Here is a 20,463-nt window from a genome sequence, read left to right as displayed (position 1 = left end):
TTTTTTTGAGATGGAGTTTTGCTCTGTTGCCCAGGCTGGAGTGCAATGGCGCCATCTCAGCTCACTGCAACTTCCGCCTCCAGGGTTCAAGTGAATCTCCTGCCTCAACCTCTCAAGTAGCTGGGATTGTGCCAATATGTCCAGCTAATTTTTTTTCTTTTTTTTTTTTTTAGTAGGGATGGGGTTTCACCATGTGGGTCAGGCTGGTCTTGAATTCCTGACCTCACCAAAGTGCTGGGATTACAGGAGTGAGCCATTGCACCCAGCCTGTTTTCTTACTTTCAGAACAACCGTTGACGATAACATCACGAGCCTTGTCTGCTTTCTTCAATGCAGGGGAGTAACTCCAGGCCAGATTGAAGTCATAAGGGCCGAGACGGGAGCTGTCTTCATTGTGGCACTCAGTCTACGTCCTAAAACTTTAGCCACGCTCGTCTTTTAAAACATTAGAAACAAAACCAAGAGCTTCCCTTTGTATTTTACACTAGAGGATTAGATCTATACGTCCCGGGAGACCTTTGAGTGCTTCCTTCATTTTAATGAAAATTCAGCTTTATTCTTGCTTTTGATGAAAAAAAGATGGATCCTTCTCAAATAATTGGAAGCCGACTTCCTAAAAAATATTTTTAAAGTAGATCCAGTTGGCATCTGGGAGACGCTGAGAGTTGGGCTGTGCTTTGCCTCTGCCTCAGTGCCCTGACACTCCTCTTTTGTAATAGGATCAGGAAAGTGATGCCGGACAGGGGCAGACAGTAGCCCCCTCTGCTGCAGTTTACAGGATATTGGCAATAAATGCATTGAAGGAGGAAAATATAACCTTACCTTCAACAAGGGGGATGATTTAGAAAACCCAGACAGGCAATCCACACCCATTTGTTGCTTCAAATTTTGGAAAAGTGTCTCCAATTTAAAAGGACTTCACTAACTAGAAGTGGCCTTTATACATTGTTCTTAGTTTTAAAACGCACGTAAAATTTCACATAAGTGTATATAAAGGGAAGCAGTTTTTAATGAGTAAAAAAAATCTGCTTTGGGATTCACAAGTACTGGATGAAGCTCCAACACATGATATTGGACAATCCTTTCTTTCAGTGTTTATTTTATTCTTGAGATAAAATTCATCCAGGCATAGTGACTCATGCTTTTAGTCCCAGCACTTTGGGAGGCTGAGGCAGGGAGATCACTTGAGTCCAGGAGTTTGAGACCAGCCTGGGCAGCATAGTAAAACTCAGTCTCTACAAAAATTAGCCAGCTGCGATGGTAGGTACATGCCCGTAGTTCCACCTACCTAGGAGGCTGAGAAGGGAGGATCCCTTGAGCCTGGGAGGTCAAGGCTACAGTGAGCCAAGACACGGCACTTCCAGCCTGGGCAACAGAGCAAGACCCCATCTCAAAAGAAAATCAGATGGCATAAAACTAGACCTAGTTTGCTGGGCATGGTGGCTCACGCCTATAGTCACAGCACTTTGGGAGGCTGAGGCGGGCAGATCACGAGGTCAGGAGTTCGAGACCAGCCTGACCAACATGGTGAAACCCCCCTCTCTACTAAAAATACAAAAAAATTAGCCAGGTGTGGTGGTGCACACCTGTAATCCCAGCTACTCAGAAGGCTGAGGCAGGAGAATTGCTTGAATCCAGAAGGCAGAGGTTGCAGTGAGCCAAGATCACGCCACTGCACTCCAGCCTGACTGACAGAGCGAGACTTCATTAAAAAAAAAACAGCAACAACAACAAAGCAAATCAAAACTCGACCTAGTTAACCGTTCTAAAGTGTGCAGTTCAGGGGCGCTTTCGCCATGACCATGTTGTGCAACCATCACCTCTGTCTAGTTCCCAGATGTTTCATCACCCCAAAACAAAACGCTAAGCCCATAAGCAGTCCCCATTTCCCTACTCCTCTACCTCCCAGCAATGAGTGTGGCATGTGTGCATGTGTGTGTGCATGTGTGTATGTATGTGTGCATGTGTGTGTTCATGTGTGTGCATGTCTGTTCATGTGTGTGCATGTGTCTGTGTGTGCATGCATATGTACTATTCATGCATGTGTTTCTTTTAAATCATGTGAATGTAATTAAGATAAATATTGAAAGAATTGCTATACATACACACTAAAATTTTAAGAAGCTGGTTGTTTCTCATATGGAATATTTAAATCTGTTATGTTTATACTGATTTAACATATTTTTAAGCATCTGTACTTGACAGTAGAGTAGGAAATAACGTCAGGTTTTCGCTGTGTAGTCACCTTCTTAAACGAAATTTCCTGTGACTTTTGTACCCACTGCTTCTTTGTAATAGGTGGAATTTATTAAAAACAGCCCCATTTTCCCTCTGTGACTGTCCATGACTACTGCAGTTCTCAGATGGGAAATACAGCCATAGACCAAATGCTATTTATGTATTTAAACACAGGAATACTCTTTTCTGAACATCTATTACTTTCACAACGTTTGAATACTTCAGTGACTCATATTCACTCGCATTTTTGCTTTTTTTTAAAAAGGGTATGTTTCATTAATCAATTAATTAACAAGTTTTACTTTCAAAAATGTTTGCTCATAAGGAAATGGCAATTTTGAACCACGTCTGTTGTTAAAAAAATTCAAATTCCAGGTTGTTTTTTAAAGAAATGTTTTCTCTTCTCTGAGATTTTTCAAAAGTCTTAGGATAAGGCCATATCTGGCCTTTTAGAAAATGATTCTGGTTTCATTTTGATGAATATAAACTTTTGTACTTTTTATTATTTCCATTTAACTCATTGATTGCATTGCCAAAAAAATCTCCAACAGTGACAGTTTCATTCGTAGATGTATATTTAGTGTGTTTTAGTCCTTACCCTGTTACAGAAATTTAAATAATGTATATAACCTAAAAGCTCTAAATTTATCAGAGTGCCATGTGTATTAAGAAGTATTTTAGCATTGCGATTTTAAGTGGAAGAACATTGAGTGTCTTAATGTAGTTTCTACATAAAGTAATAAATACCCTTAATGACACACCCTAGAAATAATTGGCCTGTTGAAGGACAAGACAATAAGAAAATCACCTTTTAGATGATGTATATTGTATAAGGCTTTGCTGCCAAAAGATATGAGCCCAAGTTTATCTGAATTGGTGTATCTGCAGCAGCAGTCAATTCCTATTGCTAATATACCCTATGGAAAGCAATCTACAACTGAAGGGAAAAGATCACATTGAAATGTGGGAAAGGCGGTGAATGAAGAAAGACCAGAGCAGTTCTGCGCTTCCCTGGGATGATGCCTCTGACCAATAAGCTCAGCTAACAGATGCGAAGTTTCAAACTATCTCATTTGCTCAATACCTTGCATAGCTCTGGGCCCATGTGCTGTAGGTGAATACTTCTGAACAAATACATGGGGATTATCATCGCTTCTCGCTCTTCCAGGGTAGAGAGCATCTTACATTCATAACAAAATCCTCAAAGTTACTTTGTTCTCACTCTCCCCAGAAAGCAGGCTTCTATTGTGTCTTATTTAGGAGGGAGGAGGAATGGAATCGCTCACAGAGGTGTCCCTAGTTTCTTGCTCAAAACCTCCTGCTTTCGCCGATAATGTGGGTGGTCTGGTCAGCTTGAAAATTAGCAAGTCGATCGTATAGTCTATATAGGATTATTATATAATAATGGGTTCGTAGAGAGAGGCTCACTTGTAAAGTCAGGGGCTATGGAAAATGGGGGATGGGTTTAGGGGATACCCTGAAATGTGTCAACCGGAGCTGAATGAAATCTTGTCCCACTGTCTCTAGCACCAGGAGGCTTTGCTATACATGAAATATTTATTGCACACTGTGCTAAATATGGCTGAAACAATCACGTTAACTCATTCAGTTCTCAGAGGAATACATGAAATCCGCACATCTACAAGAAACTATGAGGACCGGAATGGCGATGGGAAGACAGATATTAGTGTCAGCCTCTTGCTCATGCAGCTGCAAGGACTTAAGGAAAGATTCAACAGCTTTAATCAAACTCTTTTCTCTTCCTTGTGTGACAGAAAATAAATTGCATGACTGAAGGAACCATTGAGAATGAATGTCCACAAATGTTGTCCCAGTTACCTCCACACAGGGGGACAGCATAATTATGTCTTCACGTCTTAGGTGTATCAGAACATTCTGTATCCATCCCCCTAGAGCCTTCTAGGCCATGCAATGCCACATTTGTTGAGCACCTACTATATCCCAAATGATGTGCTAGACACCATCAATACAATTATTCGTGTCTTTAAGTAGATAACTATGCAGACGACCAGAGGAGTTTGCTAGCTAGGAAGACTCACCCAATCTGCCGTGGCATCTGTGCATTGGACACAAAACTTGTTCTTGCAGAATGAGAGATTAACTGAACTCAAAAGAGTGGGCTTTTAAGTATGAAAAGCTTTTTTTGTATGTAGGTTCCACTTTCTTCTAATTTATCCCAAGGAAGAGAAGAAGAAATTAAAAACACCTCATATTTATTCATCATTCTCTGTATCCCAGATACTGTCTCTGGTCCACTAGATACCATGTCTGTTGCACAGCTTAAACAAATTCGTTGATGCATTTTAAACTCTTCAGGATTAATGTAGCCTTTGTTTTTTAAACTTCTTGCCTTTTCCTAGAAAAATAGAAACAAACTTAATTTTAAAAACTGCTTTTTCAAATATATCTGATGAAGCAGGGGATGGAGGAGGAGGTTAATGGACCATCATTGGCATGTCATGTTGATTAGAAGTGCCTGGATCATCCCTAGCTGTCTGCCTGCTTTAGTTTTCTATTATTCCATTTTGTTTTGTTTTGTTTTGTTTTATTTCAGAACTAAGATTCAATCTAGTACACAGAATTTATATGCATGTTATTAAAACAGGAAAAAACAATATTTCAAAGAGGACAGACTCATAAAGATGGTGAAGCTTCAGGAAACAATGGCATAAAACTCAAAAACCTCAAGTTAAAAAAAAGCAGCTGAACAAAATTGCCAGGGATTCTTGCTGTTTACTGCAATATGGTCTGATTCTTACTGTGTGTGCTTTTTAAAATATTCTCACAAGAGTTGTAGGCTGTTGTATCTCACATAAATGTGCTGTTGTCTTTGCATTCTTTTCCTAACTACTTCCTAAGATTCTCAAGTGTGTAATCTGGAGGACTCATTGAGTGTGACCCTGGTGCAGCACTTAGTTAATGGCACAAAACAGAGACCCCATCCCACATTTTGAAACAGAGCCCCAGGTAAATCCGTGCTACTGTGAGGCGGAATTAGACACAGATTTCTACAACATCCACCTCACCCTGGGTAGCCTGCTTATTCTCAGGTTCAACCCTTCACAGGATGCAGCTCTATCCAGCCCTGCAGTGCTTGTGATCAATTAGAAAACTCAGATTTAGGAGACTAAAGAAAATTCATTATACTCAACCCAGTAACACTATCTTTGCATATAAGATTAAAAAATAAATAAAAGAAGGTATCCCTTTTATTAGTAGTAGTATCTTTCTGGATGAAATAATTTATACAGTTGAAGATGTCATAAGAAGGAATGAAAACAAGCATCTTCAGGTTTATTTTGAGAATCACATTTTCCTACTCTCCTGGAGGCCCATATTTCCCTAGAGGAGCTTTCTTGGAAACTTTGTCCCCTATTCTAAACTATGTGTCACTATGCCTAAGAGTTGAGCCAGTTCAGTGAGGGACCAGTTAGATTTACCAGGTCTCACATCGTTTCAGGATGATTCACATACTGTTTCCCTGCTTTGTCTAATAATTTGTGTATTGCATGCAAACATTAAGATATTGTTTTTTCTTTTCTTTCATAATTTTATAGGATTGGGTGTTTAGACACATGTAAAACATGTGTCCAGATATGCTTATGTACATAAGCATAAAGAAAATTAAGAAAATATGGGGTTAGTGAATGTTCTGTTAGGGTAGAGGAATCAAAAAGGAAACAACCACAAAAACTTCACTAAAGAATCATTATGGGTTTAGTTGTACTAAAGTGTTAATGAAAAATGGGATATAATAACATATTCTCAAAATGTTAAAATAGTAAAATTTTAAAATTAAAGGAAATGTAAGCTAATGTTAAAATAGCTAAAATAGTTATTTTAATAACTGGGGAAAATAGGTTTTAGGAAAAATAGCTAACGCATGCGGGGCTTAATACCTAGGTGATGGGTTCACAGGTGCAGCCAACCCCCATGGTACACATTTACCTATGGAACAAACCTGCACATCCTGCACATGTATGGCAGAACTTAAATGAACCAATTGCAGTGATGTGACTTAACAAAGCTCCTCTTGGGCTTAAGGAAGTGGATGGGAAGGAGCTTGTCAAGAGCAGGAGGTTGGTGTGAGCCCAGGGACCCTGAGACTCCAGTCTCCCCGAAGCTGCCCTTATGCGCGCCGCTGGCAGGGTGTGTCCCCTGGCACAGAGGGAAACGGTGATGAACCCGCATCACTCTTGTGCTTAGGGAAGGCCCCTCTTATGGGGGCATTCATCCTCCGATTTTATGTTAACTTAAAAGTCATGTGTTCATTTCTCATAATGCAGTGTACATTCCTTACAGCAAAAATTGTGAGTTATATCCGAAGAGAAGTACTGTATCAATCATCTTTCAAAATAGTAGTGAATAAGCTTTGATTTTTAGAAAAGGTATTGTAGATTTTATTGCATTTTATGTATTTCTTATATATATAGAAATATACTTCTTTATATATTTCTTATATATATTTATGTATATATTATATAGAAAGAAATATTTCTGTTTCTTATATACTTATATATTTCTTATTTATATATATGATGTATACACACATAAGCTTACATATAATTCCTATGGACTCTTTTATAACCTGCCTTTTTGTGTAATCATATATCATGAAGAATTTTTCATGTCAAGAATTATCCTTATAAAATTAATGCCTCTTTAATTAAAATTTTAATAGCTCAGAGAGTTAACTTGCCTTTCTTCTTGACCTGCAAATGCTAAATGCCCTTAATATAAGCTGTTTATTATTTTATCAGTAAAATATGATAGAAAAATACATCCAAAGCCTGGAAATAATATAGTCGGAGAGACCATTAAGAATTAGTTGTAACTTTGCCTTAGGGCTGAGTTAAAATCAGTTAAGAGGGAATGTACTTGCAAGAGTCTCTGAAGTCAAGATGTAAATATGATGGTGTAGAGAATTTGCATATGCCACTTCCTTGTGTTATTAGGTCGATGCAAAAGTAATTGCGGTTTTTGCTATTGCTGTAGTAAAAACCGCAATTACTTTTGCACCAAATTAATATTTCCTGCAATGTTTTTCCTTTGCATTAGGCATATTTTCTTTGGTAAAAAATGAACTAGAGAGCCGGGCGCGGTGGCTCACGCCTGTAATCCCAGCACTTTGGGAGGCTGAGGCAGGCGAATCACGAGGTCAGGAGATCAAAACCATCCTGGCTAACAGAGTGAAAACCCGTCTCTACTAAAAATACAAAAAATTAGCTGGGCGTGGTGGTGGGCACCTGTAGTCCCACCTACTCGGGAGACTGAGGCAGGAGAATGGTGTGAACCCGGGAGGTGTAGCTTGCAGTGAGCTGAGATCGCGCCATTGCACTCCAGCCTGGGTGAGCCAGAGTGAGACTCTGTCTCAAAAAAAATAAAAAATAAATGAACTGGGGAAAATATTAATATCTGTGTAGGCCTTAGAGGGAGTGTTGCTGAGTAGAGAAAACACAGTCTTAGGGGTTGATCTGATATGTGTTTGCACCCACACCACCTAGTCCTAGCTGCAGGTCTTACAGTTCATGCTCGACTTCCTGGGAGAACAGCAGTTTTCTTAGATGAAGAATCAAGGAAGTGGTAGCCACAGTACCCTCTTCATAGGTTTTTGAGAGCTCTAGATAAACCAATGCTTGGCCAAGTGCCTGGCAGACAGTGAGTCCTCAGGGAATCTGAATTTCCTCTTCAAAGTTTATATTATCGCAGGAAAGTCAGGCAATCAATTACAATTGTCAATTACAATAAATTATAACGTATTTCTTTTATCACACCTAAAAGCCAAAACTATAGCTGTAACCTGGTTATCAGTCCCTCCCTCCCTTCTTTCCTTCCTTCCTTCCTTCCTTCTTCTATGGAGACGGTTTTCTCCCTCCCTCCCTCTCTCCCCTTCCGCTTCCCCTTTCCCTTCCCCTTTCCCTTCCCCTTCCCCTTCCCCTTCCCCTTCCCCTTCCCTTCCCTCCCCTCCCCTTCCCTTCCCTTCTTTCTTTTCGATCACAATATGCAAAGAATGTAGAAGGAGCAGTTCAGAAGCCACTGGGGCCTCCTGGAGCACATTTCCGGTTTCCTTGTAGAATAAATTGAAAGTACCAGACCCGTCCACCTGTTGCTCCGGGCAGCTATTGTTAAGACAAAGCAACTTCTTAAGGCCTTGCCTGATTTCCCACTGAGCTCCTTGAGTGAAGCTGAGTCACCCTCTCCTATGACTTTCTTCCTTGTATGTCAATCAGTTGACAATGTTTGTTTGAACAGTGCCCTTTAAACTTTATCAGTTATACTTCATTGAATATTTTTTTTAAGAAAAGTAAAATTTCAGAAGAAAACTATAAGGAGTATTGCCTATATATTGCCTATGCATTGTGTAATTTAGTGACTTTGTATAGAACCTTTGTAAGGAAAGTGGTGAAACAGTGTAGCAGTATCACACCAGTCTCCTCCCTCACGTGGTGAAACAGTGTAGCAGTATCACACCAGTCTCCTCCCTCACGTGGTGAAGCAGTGTAGCAGTATCACACCACAGTCTCCTGCCTCACGTGGTGAAACAGTGTAGCAGTATCACACCACAGTCTCCTCCCTCACTTACATGTGGAAATATCATGTGTTTTGCGTGTTCCTGAACTAGGCAGAAGCTAGTGATACAGGCATGATGGGGCCACAGGATTCTTTTTGAAAACAAAATAAAGCTTTGAACATGGTATATTTCCAGTCTGCTTACAGAATTAAGGTTTCTATATTCTGTACACAATTTTTGTGACATAAAAATTGTGTCACAGTTTATATTGGGACGTATATTGATTTTGAGTCGCTTTGAGGCCAATGATGGTCTTAAAATAATGGTTTTTCTGCCAAAATTTTAAGCTCAGGTCTGATTTGTTCCAGTATCTGTTCAGAGTTAACTGTTAACTTAAAATTCAAACTTAAAGAAGTTATACTTTAAAACATTTTCAATGTATTTTTTAAGTTGGGTATGTAAACCTCTTGTCCAGGTGATGTGTAGTCAAACGTGTTGGATTAAATACGTGCATAAATATGTGTGAGTTAAAAAACACCAACAGAATCTGAAGTCGATGGTGGTATGGACGATTGAAAAGTTTATTACCTCCAAACCCATGTGCTTTGCACGGGATGCTGGGCTTGTTGGGATTCCTGACTTCCTAGACCCAAAATTACCACTATGTGTCTCTGACAACTTCTATTTGCTCATCTTCGCTGGCCGTTCATCCAGCACTCATGAAGTAAAAGAATGAGGCGAGGCGCGGTGGCTCATGCCTGTAATCCCAGCACTTTGGGAGCCCAAGGTGGGTGGATCACGAGGTCAGGAGTTCAAGACCAGCCTGACCAATATGGTGAAACCCTGTCTGTACTAAAAATACAAAAATTAGCCGAGCATGGTGGCGGATGCCTGTAATCACAGCTATTCAGGAGGCTGAGACAGGAGAATCTCTTGAACCAGGGAGGCGGAGGTTGCAGTGAGCCAAGATAATGCCACTGCACTCCAGCCTGGGCAACAGAGCAAGACGTGGTCTCGGGGGAAAAAAGAAAAAGTAAATAAATAGCCTCAACGCACAGGTTTCTTTAAATCCCATGCTCCTCCCAGCATCCTACCTCTCCCTCCTGTGCGTTTGCTCGGCTCCCAGTCACTGCTGTTGAGGGTTGCCCCAGTGAGCAGAATTTGACAGACGTGGATCAGACGTTTCCTGTGAATCCGATTTGAGGCAGCGACATAAACGGATGGTCTCTCAGTGCACCTCCAAATGTATGGAAAGTTAGTTGCCTTTTATTCTCAGAATGTCACTCACAGCCATTTAAAAACAGAACTTGCACTAAGTTGGTTTTATTTTTTTTCTTAGTAATTAACAGTTTTCTATTTGCTCAGGGAACAGGAGTTACCAGTTCATACTGTAACAGTGTATTTCTGCCAATTTTGCTTAATATTAATTTTTAATTTCACATAAAAGCTTAGCCCATAGCATTTAGCTTTTAAAGTTTAATCTGACAGTTTCGATTTTACTTTTCCTTTTTGTATAATAATTATATTGAAATTTAAAAACTAAGCTTTATTTCCATGGTTTGCCTTTCAAAATCAACACACATAAGAACAAATTTGGCCCCAGGCAGAGCTTCTACAAAAATAAGAAGTTAGGCACGACCTCGATCATAGTTGCTTATACTTTCTTTAAAAACTATTGTGCTTGTAGGAAAGAGTGCTGATGCCAAAGACTGGGAAGTGCTTTACTTTGGGTTACGATTAGATTTACAATTTTTTGCCAAATTTTGGATATACAAGTGAAAGTCCACGGTTCTGCTCTAATCATCTCAGAGCCTTCAAGTAAAGCCTTATCTATAATTATCGTTAAGTAATACATTTTAATGAATAAATAAATGAAGTTAAAAATATACAACAGAAAGACTGGGCGAGGTGGCTCACACCTGCAATCCCGGCACTTTGGGAGGCTGAGGCAGGCGGATCACGAGGTCAGGAGATAGAGACCATCCTGGCTAATACAGTGAAACTCTGTCTCTACTAAAAATACAAAAAATTAGCCAGGCATGGTGGCGGGTGCCTGTAGTACCAGCTACTCGGGAGGCTGAGGCAGGAGAATGGCGTGAATCCAGCAGGTGGAGCTTGCAGTGAGCCGAGATTGTGCCACTGCACTCCAGCATGGGAGACAGAGCAAGACTCCATCTCAAAAAAAAATATATATGTATGTATATATATATCAGATATAGATTCTGTTTAATATAAGAACTGATTATAAAAAGTTTTTCTGAGAACAACAGATGGAACTTGGAATTACATTATCTAATTAAAAAACAGTTGAAGTGTTCACGGTGTTTCCTCATCACATAACAGGCTGGAATCGAATAGATACGAATCCTGCAAAGTTATGTTAGGAGTCGTCTGCCCGAAGAGCCCAGCATCTGTGCCATGGAGAGGACACCAGACTCTTATGTGATGCCCTGTTACTGCCCTTCAGCTTAGAGCCAAGCTGCCTATAAGAGACCAGCGTGCAGACAGGTGGCTTCGTTTCTATTGATCAACAGCTGGAGAAGGAACCTGGGATGGGAATTATCACGTTTCTCTGTCATTAGGGAGTTTTTCAGGAAAACACTGCCATTGCTTTGGGTTCTGGAAAGAAGCGAGGATGTGGAGCACACCTTGCTTCCTGTCCCCAAGAAGGGAATTAAAAGGGAAACACTGGTTAGTGAGCACATGGCAGGACAGGGCAGCTCCTGGAGGTGGAGCCGCGGTCATAGTGCGGGTGCTTTGCTGAGACCTACTACGGTGTGAGGCATGCCACGGGAACAGTGATCCCTCTTAGAGCTGGCAAAACTGCTCAAATAATTCACCATCAAATCTCAAAACACAGTGTTTTCAGGCTTCCTTCATCAGGCGATCAGTACGTTCACTTAACTGAGAATGGGGACATTACTGGATAGGAAGGACCTCCATGATCCTCAAGAAAGTTTGAAAGAGAATAAACAATAGGACCTTATGTTTATCCATATTTGCTTTTCGTTTGTTTGTTTGTTTTTTGAGACAGAGTCTCGCTCTGTCACCCAGGCTGCAGTGCAGTGGCATGATCTCGGCTCACTGCAGCTTCCGCATCCTGGGTTCAAGCAATTCTCCTGCCTCAGCCTCCTGAGTAGCTGGAATTACAGGCCCCTGCCACCATGCCTGGCTAATTTTTGTATTTTTAATAGAGATGGGGTTTCGCCGTGTTGGCCAGGCTGGTCTCGAACTCTTGACCTCAAATGATCTGCCCACCTTGGCCTCCCAAAGTGCTGGGATTACAGGTGTGAGCCACCGCACCTGGCCTGTTACCCATATTCGTATGTCAACTTGAGCATCTTTAAGAAGACATCTCTGAGTAAGGAGTGTATATAGAGTAGAGAAAATAGCTTAATGAGTCACCTCTAGAATCCTATCGAGGGCTAAGATTTCCAGCTGGTCCTCTCCAGGAAAAAGGGGTGGGGTGCAACTGGGATTCCTGTCACCAAGGAATGCTGATGCCTTTTATTATTATGCTATACCAGACATGTGTTCAGGAGTCCTGATTCTTATGTATTTCTAGTTCAATTGTCATTGTGACTTTGGACCTGTTATTGATCCCGGTATTAATTTCTTCTTTTACCTTTCCACATACCCAGCTTTCGCCACAGAACACAGCCTGTGTGTTCATTTGAACTTCTCCCTGCTGGGCTGAATGTATATAAGACATCATGTTCTCATTCCTTCCAGCTGACAAAATCCACGCTGAGCTGTATGTATATAAGACATCAGTGTTCTCATTCCTCCCAGCTGACAAAATCAGGTTCCATGTCAGGTTTTCACACTTGGAAATCAAGTCTTAGTGTATTAGGCATTAAGATGTTAAGATGAGGTGCAGCCGTCTAGAGTGAGCCTCTTTATTTCTTTCTGACGCATTACCCTATACTTAACAGCATGTCATGAACCAGGTCTGGAGTCGCTGCAGGTGGGCCTGACATATCTCCGCACCATGAACTTCACTGGCCATTTCTCCTTCTAGTTTACAAACCAATAGCTCACCTGTCACTCACATAAGCCTCTTTCCATCAGATCCCTGGATAGGAATTGTTCACATAGAAAATGACAAAACAAATACAGATGGGAAAGGTGCTTGTGTGGATTGGTTGGTCACTAACAAACTCTTCTGGCAGATAAATTCTTCTCTGTACAGTAAAACACACCCATTTGCAACAATGGTATGGAAGTTCTATCATGGACAAATAAATCAAATTATTCCTGCCCTGTTTTTCCTCCAGCACATAGTTGCAGCTGTATCTCCTATTGGAGCCTCAGAATTAAATAGGAAGGAACATAAAGAAAGACTTCTGACTGCAACTCTATGTAGGACTGAAAAGGTGCATGAGAAGATTTAGAGTATTTGTATCCATGCTTCTTCCATTTTAGGATCCACTGAGTTTCCCCACATGGGGCTCAAGGAATATTTATTGCTTTCAAACATTTTTTACTGCTCAAAATATTTTAAGGGTAGTGAACTAGGTAAAGGAAAGGGTAGGAACTTAGGGCTTAGCATTTTAATACACATCCTCCAAGCAATTCTAATGCAATGTAAGGTTGCAAAATGATTTACAAGAATGAGGGGTTTATTGTCTCCTGCGCACCTCTTTCCACGGCAAGAGTGACCCTTAAAGAGAATTTTAGTCCTTAGTTTCAGAGCAAGGTTATGAACCTCACATATTGTAAATTCCCCTTCACCAGCCGTGGTGGAACTCAGAGAACATTTGGTTCTCTGCCTGCAAGGAGAAGGGTGTGACTGGATCCTGTTGTTACTGCACCAGTAAATAAATGTCTGCCAGTGAACCTTTAAGAGAGGCTGGGCCAAAGAGAAGATGAAAATGATAAGGAGGAGGAGAAAGAGAAGGAGGAGGAGAAAGAGAAGGAAGAGAGGGATGGAAGAAGAGGAGGAGGAGGAAGAAAAGGAGGAGGAGAGGACAAGGAGGTGGAGGAGGAGAAGAAGGAAGAGGAGGAGGAAGAAAGGACACAGAGGTGGAGGAGGAAATGGAGGAGGAGGAGGAGGAGGAGGAGGAGAAATGGTGGCATCAGCTCAATCTGGCCTTTGGCATCCCGGGGCCATTTGGTTTCTCTCGGTCATCCTTAGTGGGAGATGGTCAAAGTCTTCCACTCATTTCTCCTAAGTGGCTTTCTCTGCTTTGATTACAAACACAGTTTGAAATTATTTTTGGACAGTCTCCTAAGAGCAACATAAGCACAAACATAAACACAAAAATATCTTTAGTGTTCCAGCCCGGGACTGTCCGTCTCCTTATGAAAGTATGGCATGGGGGAGCTGATTCCATCTCTTATGCTTGATGTAAGAATGGGACGATGTGGGTGTCTTCCAGGTTATACAAATAATCACATTTTCAAGTTAATTAGAATTTCTCACATTAGGTAATTCCTGCTATTTCAGAGATTTGGTTACAATTGTATTGCAGATACATGCCCTGTAGGGGCATGTACATGCCTTAAAAATTATTTGCCCGAACTTCACACATGGCTTTTTGTTTGTTTTGGCTTTTTTGATTCAAAAGAACTCAAGACTTTCTTCTGTAAACTCAGGGGTGTTTTAGGAAGCATAGAACATTATTCTACTGCACTAAAAGGGAACACTGTAAGCCTTGATTCTGCCCTCTGCCTTCCTTTTTTGAATAGAGAAGAAATAAAACGCACAGTTTGGGTACAGGGTTTGTCTTCAGCTTCTGGGACTCATGATGTGCAGAGGCCGCCCGAGATTCATTTGCACAGTGCTTTTCTGAGCCAGAAATATCTGGAGAGACTGTGGCCTCTGGAACAGCTGCCTCATTCACTGGTGGGGTGGGTCAAAGCATGAGGTAATCAGAGTTCTTTCTTTTCCTCTGCACCTGCAAAAGCACATCGCTAATTCCCTCACAGACGCCAACAGGCATTCAGGCTAATGCCTTTCAGAGGAACCACAGCATGTCCCGCATGCCGCAGAAGACTGCCTCACCACGGACCTGTTTCTAAAAGGAGAAGAGGCCTAAGTCAGAGGCTGGCTTGATTTGCATTTCTGTTAGGTGTTGATGGAATAATTGTCATTTTTAGTTGCGTTCTACATAGAGCAAAATTATTTTAGGCACACATATTAAAGCACTAATGCAAGTAGGTGTGTATGTGTGTTGGGGGGTAATTAACTGGTGTGCCACAGACTGTTCTAAAACACCACACTTGAGTAAAAATATTTAAACGAACCTCAGCTAGTTCTATTTGACCATTATTAGAACACAAAAACTTAACCAAGGAAACTAACTTCAGAATTTACGTTGAATAAACATTACTAGGAAATAGAGGAAATTAGCCTCACGTGAAAATTGCTATCGTGGTCGACCAGTTCTTGACACCTCTTGAAAAAGAGTGGTCCAAAGCGGAGAATTCATCGTGAGAGTGGAATTTCATGAGCCTCAGCCATCATGTTGTCAGTTTTTGAACTTTCTAAAATGATGAGGAATTCGCCTTCATTTCTGATCTATTTTGTTGTTATTTCTAGCTGTTTCTAAATGGTGTGTGAAATGTTTTATTTTCTAGTGGTGAACTGTTCTGATCCAGGCTTTGTGGAAAATGCCATTCGTCACGGGCAACAGAACTTCCCTGAGAGTTTTGAGTATGGAATGAGTATCCTGTACCATTGCAAGAAGGGATTTTACTTGCTGGGATCTTCAGCCTTGACCTGTATGGCAAATGGCTTATGGGACCGATCCCTGCCCAAGTGTTTGGGTAAGTCAGGGTTATTCCCAATTTCTGTGCAGAGACCCCTGCAAGGTCACCATCAGCAGAAAATTCCGTAAGTATATTTAAAAGGCACTGAATTTTAATTCCTTCTGTCCTCCCATCACCAATTGTAGGAGTTTTTATGATAGCTGTAGATCGAGTGGCCAGAAATCACCAAATACAACTTCAGCAAATTTGAAGGGTCGGGGGATGCTGGTATGCTCAGGAGAAATGACCCAGGTTATTGGATGCCACTTGGACAATGATGCCTTTATCTGTTTTTCTCATGGCTTGCCTTCAGCCTCAGCCTACCAGGTAGGCCTGGTCCACACAGCTCAGACACGGCAGCCAGGACCTCCCCGCCAGGCGTCTTACTCTCGCTCAGCCCAGGTGGGCGAAGTGCTCTGGTGTGGAGTTTCTGTCTGTTGACCTGGCATCTACGGCCAAAGAAGGGAGTGCTGTGAGACCTGATTGGGTTTTGTGAGCATTCCTGGTACAGTCCATGGTGACTACAATAAAAACCTCATATCCTTTGAGTATATACCCAGTAGTGGGATTGCTGGGTCAAATGGTATTTCTTATTCTAGGTCTTTGAGGAATCGCTACACTGTCTTCCAAAATGATTCAACTAATTTACATTCCACCAACAGTGTAAAATCATTCCTATTTCTCCACAGCCTCGCCAGCATCTGTTGTTTCTTGACTTTTTAATAATTGCCATTCTGACAGGCATGAGATGGTATCTCATTGTAGTTTTGATTTGCATTTCCCTTATGATCAGTGATGTTGAGCTTTTTTCATATGTTTATTGGCCACATAAATGTCTTCTTTTGAGAAGTGTCTGTTCATGTCCTTTGCCCACTTTTTAATGGGGTTGTTTTTTTCTTGTAAATTTGTTTAAGTTCCTTGTAGATTCTGGATATTAGACCTTTGTCAGATGGATAGATTGCAACGATTTTCATCCATTCTGTTGGTTGTGTGTTCACTCTGAGGATAGTTTCTTTTGCAGTGCTAAAGCTCTTTTGTTTAGTTAGATCCCATGATACATGCATGTGTATGTTCACTGCAGCACTATTCACAATAACCACACATGGAATCAACCCAAGTGCCCATCAGTAAAACACTGAATAAAGAAAACGTGGTACATACACACCGTGGAACGTGATGCAGCCATAAAAAAGAATGAGATTATGTCCTTTGCAGAGACATGGATGGAGCTTGGAAGCCATTATCCTCTGCAAACTAATGCAGGAACAGAAAACCAAACACCACAAATTCTCACTTATAAGTAGGAGCTGAACACATAGACACAGGGAGAGGACCAACACTCACTGAGGCCTGTCAGTAGGGTAGGGGGAGGGAGAGCATCAGGATAAATAGCTAATGCATATGGGGCTTGGTACCTAGGTGATGGATTGATAGGTGCAGCAAACCACCATGGCACACATTTCCCTGCGTAACAAACCTACACACCCTGCACATGCATCCCAGAACTTAAATAAAGATAAAAAATAAATGAATAAAGTTGTTATTAAATCTTTTTTTCTTTCTTTCTTTTTTTTTTTAAAAAAACCTCATATCCTGATAGTAATTGGCTTGTGAATTGAATCTTTAAATCAGGGGAAGGGATATGGCTCTGAAAAATGGATGTGTTCTTCTGGGCAGAGATAATTATAGATGATCCTTATGGCCCCTCTTACAGCTTTATTGTCAGTGTATTTTAGACCATGAAGATTAGCAAGAATATATCATTTTACCCAAATAGCCAAAGTGTTATTTTCTTTGACTTGAAAAAAAAATCAGATTGACTGTTAACTAAAAGAGAATCATGTCTTAAGATCATAGTCTGAAGATTTAGGAAAAGGTGTTACTCTCTTTAGTCTTTTTGAAATTAGGCAGAAGCAAAGCAATCCTTAAAATCAAAATCTGATCTTTGTCCTATGCATTTTACATCCATAAAGAAAGTGGAGGCCAGGTGCCGTGACTCACACCTGTAATCCCAGCATTTTGGGAGGCCAGGGAAGGTGGATCTCTTGAGGCCAGGAGTTCTAGATCAACTTGGACAACCTAGCCAGACTCCATCTCTACAAAAAATAAAATAAAAACTAGTGGGGCATGGTGGCACATGCCTATAGTCCCAGCACATTGGGAGGCTGAGGTGGCAGGATCACTTGAGTCCAGGAGTTACGATTGCACCACTGCACTCCAGGCTGGCCAGCAAACAAATCCCCATCTCTAAAAAAATAAAAATAGAAATGAGGAGGGAAATGGCACTTACATTATGAATCGGATCTACCACATACACAATAAAAGGGATAATGCCTCTTGCCTTTTCAGTTTTAGCACTGTGAAGTGTATTTTGAGAATGGGTTAGTGTTGCAGTTTTTTTTTTTTTCTCCAAGTGAGTTTCCCTCACATTCCTCTAATCTACACAGAAACTCATCTCAAATTCTAACTTCAACAATTCAATTAATTCCTGTGGAGAACGACAGTGGTAACTTTCAAAAAAATTCTCAGCCTTATTTAACAAAAAATGCATCTGTAAATGTGTTACGGTCTTCAAATTATGTCTGCATTCTCATCTTCCTTGCTTTCACACATGGGAATTTTTCATAGAAATTGGTTTAGTTTTGTTTTTGTCTGTCCCAGAACATTTCTTTTATGTCTCCACTGGCTTGTGTGAGACTTCCATTTGGTTTTGTACTGATGCTGATGTTCCTCAAGTCTCCAGGAGCTGGGGTTTAGCTGGCTCTCCTTTTCCGGGGTGGCCAGTTCACTCCGCTTGGTGTCATTAACAGTTGGAATTGTCGTCACTTTGGGAATCCAAAGATCTCAGGGTGCCTTTGCTTTTCCATGCTCTAGAGCAGCTGAGCTCCATGTCTGATTTTGCTGTGATATTGTTTCACTGAAGGTTAAAATTTAAATAAGATATAAATTTTATTTCACCTGGAAATGGTCATTTATCCAGCATTTCACTGTTTCAGGTCTCACTGGCTTCTTTTAAGGACTCTATGTGGATAAAATCCGGTTCTCCAATGAATCAATGTCCATGTAAGACAGAAAGTGACGGCTGATATGACTCAGGGGATGGCCATGGCTTCCAGGCGTTCAAATCTACCTCTCTGGTTGATAACCCTTCTGGGTGTCTCGTTACCAAATGGAATTACTCTAGGATACTAAAGCAGTCGCCTTTGAGTAATTCCTTGGTAGTCTCAAATCGGTTATTTTTGCATATAGATAAAAATTTGTCCATTGCTAGCCCTCATTTGATACTGTACAGTAAAGGAAAAATAAATCTTCACTATCCTATTTTAATCTGGATTACAGAGTTTGCCTTTTTGAAGGATATTTATAAATAGAGTTTAGGCCTGATTTGGTATAATTTTAAGGAAATGAAGGGAAATAATGAGATTATTTTATAGAACAATTTGAAGAACAAATGAATCAATAATTGATTATTATTATTTTACTTATACATATTAGACTGCCCCTTATTCAAAGAGTAACTGTTAGAATGGTTTTCTTAGACATGTGAGCTTGAAGATTAAGCAGATTTGACAGAATCATGTCCGCAAGCAAAGAATATGATTGTCATATTAACTGAAAACATCGTGGAAATAGTTTTAATGCATCCATGTTACTTTCGCAAATTTCCTATAATACTGTTCATTTGGAATATAGTTAAGGGTCGATGGAAAAATGTAGGCAGTATGGCTGTCTCCTTGAAAATCCACATGTAAATTTCTACCATAAGGAAAGCTACCTTAGCAAAACAAAAACTTCATAAACGGGACCTTTCCTTTTCAGTAAAGAAATTAGGGGAGGAAGTGTCATCTGAAAATTGGTATTTCTCACAAATTACATAAGTACCAGAATATTTAGGTGTTTTTCTTTAATACATGATGTCAGTATGGGTGTCTGTATGGGAGATTTTCCAATACAAAGTGGTTTAACTGGAAGGATGTACTCAATTGTTTTATCTTTTTTCTGAAGCTATATCGTGTGGACACCCAGGGGTCCCTGCCAACGCCGTCCTCACTGGAGAGCTGTTTACCTATGGCGCCGTCGTGCACTACTCCTGCAGAGGGAGCGAGAGCCTCATAGGCAACGACACGAGAGTGTGCCAGGAAGACAGTCACTGGAGCGGGGCACTGCCCCACTGCACAGGTGAGGGGCTTACGAGTGAACTGACAGAATTACAGATTTCAAATAACTTTTCAAATAGTGATTTCAAATAATGATGATTTACAGTTATTTGAAAAGCCCTATAATTATGCATTTATTTGAAATTAGTATTGCATTTCTAGCCAAATACGCCGCTCTTATAGATATTGTCTTCATCTTCGCAATAATCGTTAGACACCATTACTTTAAATGTTCTCCTCCGGGGTTCTCAGGAGAGTCTGGATCTCATTTGAGAGGACGCTTGCCGGCCATGGCTCCGTGTGTCCCTGTTCGCTCTTTATTCTTTTTTATGTGGTTAATTTTCCCTCCCTCTACCATCATCCTCTACCATCATCCTCTACCATCATCCTCTACCATCATCCTCTACCACCATCCTCTACCACCATCCTCTACCACCATCCTCTACCATCATCCTCTACCATCATCCTCTACCATCATCCTCTACCACCATCCTCTACCACCATCCTCTACCATCATCCTCTACCATCATCCTCTACCACCATCCTCTACCACCATCCTCTACCACCATCCTCTACCATCATCCTCTACCATCATCCTCTACCACCATCCTCTACCATCATCCTCTACCATCATCCTCTACCATCATCCTCTACCACCATTAACCGCATGGGTCCTCTTTGGAAGAAAAAAAACATTATCTTTATTTTTTTCACGAATGTTTCTTAAACAACCAAAATTCAGCGAACCAGCAACTCTGGACACAATTCTGAAGAGCTAAACCT

General features: G+C 40.8%; 1 protein-coding gene and 1 long non-coding RNA gene across 10 annotated transcripts in view, besides 1 other annotated feature; one reads left to right on the top strand and one right to left on the bottom strand.

Annotated features, from left to right (window-relative positions):
* The window catches only part of LOC105377785 (uncharacterized), a 297,276-nt gene that overhangs the window by 30,079 nt on the left and 246,734 nt on the right, over positions 1–20,463 (bottom strand). For 2 of the 5 annotated variants that reach the window (NR_168445.1, NR_168444.1), the window contains exon 7: positions 4,299–4,615. The exons of the other annotated variants lie outside the window; for them this stretch is intronic. This is a non-coding gene — a long non-coding RNA (uncharacterized LOC105377785). The remainder of the gene's footprint in view (positions 1–4,298; positions 4,616–20,463) is intronic. 5 annotated transcript variants of the gene reach the window in all.
* CSMD1 (CUB and Sushi multiple domains 1) overlaps positions 1–20,463 on the top strand; it is a 2,059,554-nt gene that overhangs the window by 2,000,762 nt on the left and 38,329 nt on the right. For all 5 annotated transcript variants that reach the window (XM_011534752.3, NM_033225.6, XM_011534753.4 and 2 more), the window contains 2 exons: positions 15,353–15,541; positions 19,529–19,702. In XM_011534752.3, the coding sequence (XP_011533054.1) occupies positions 15,353–15,541; positions 19,529–19,702 (363 nt within the window). The remainder of the gene's footprint in view (positions 1–15,352; positions 15,542–19,528; positions 19,703–20,463) is intronic.
* Positions 8,125–8,692: an enhancer, noted in NCBI's record as "OCT4-NANOG hESC enhancer chr8:2842983-2843550 (GRCh37/hg19 assembly coordinates)". NCBI's record gives its function as "activates a minimal SCP1, AML or CMV promoter by ChIP-STARR-seq in primed H9 embryonic stem cells {active_cell/tissue: H9 hESC(primed)}" and the evidence as "EXISTENCE:reporter gene assay evidence [ECO:0000049][PMID:30033119]".

Source organism: Homo sapiens, chromosome 8 (genome assembly GCF_000001405.40).
Source record: "Homo sapiens chromosome 8, GRCh38.p14 Primary Assembly".
Lineage (NCBI taxonomy): Eukaryota > Metazoa > Chordata > Mammalia > Primates > Hominidae > Homo > Homo sapiens.
This window is presented reverse-complemented; position numbering and strand designations above follow the sequence as displayed.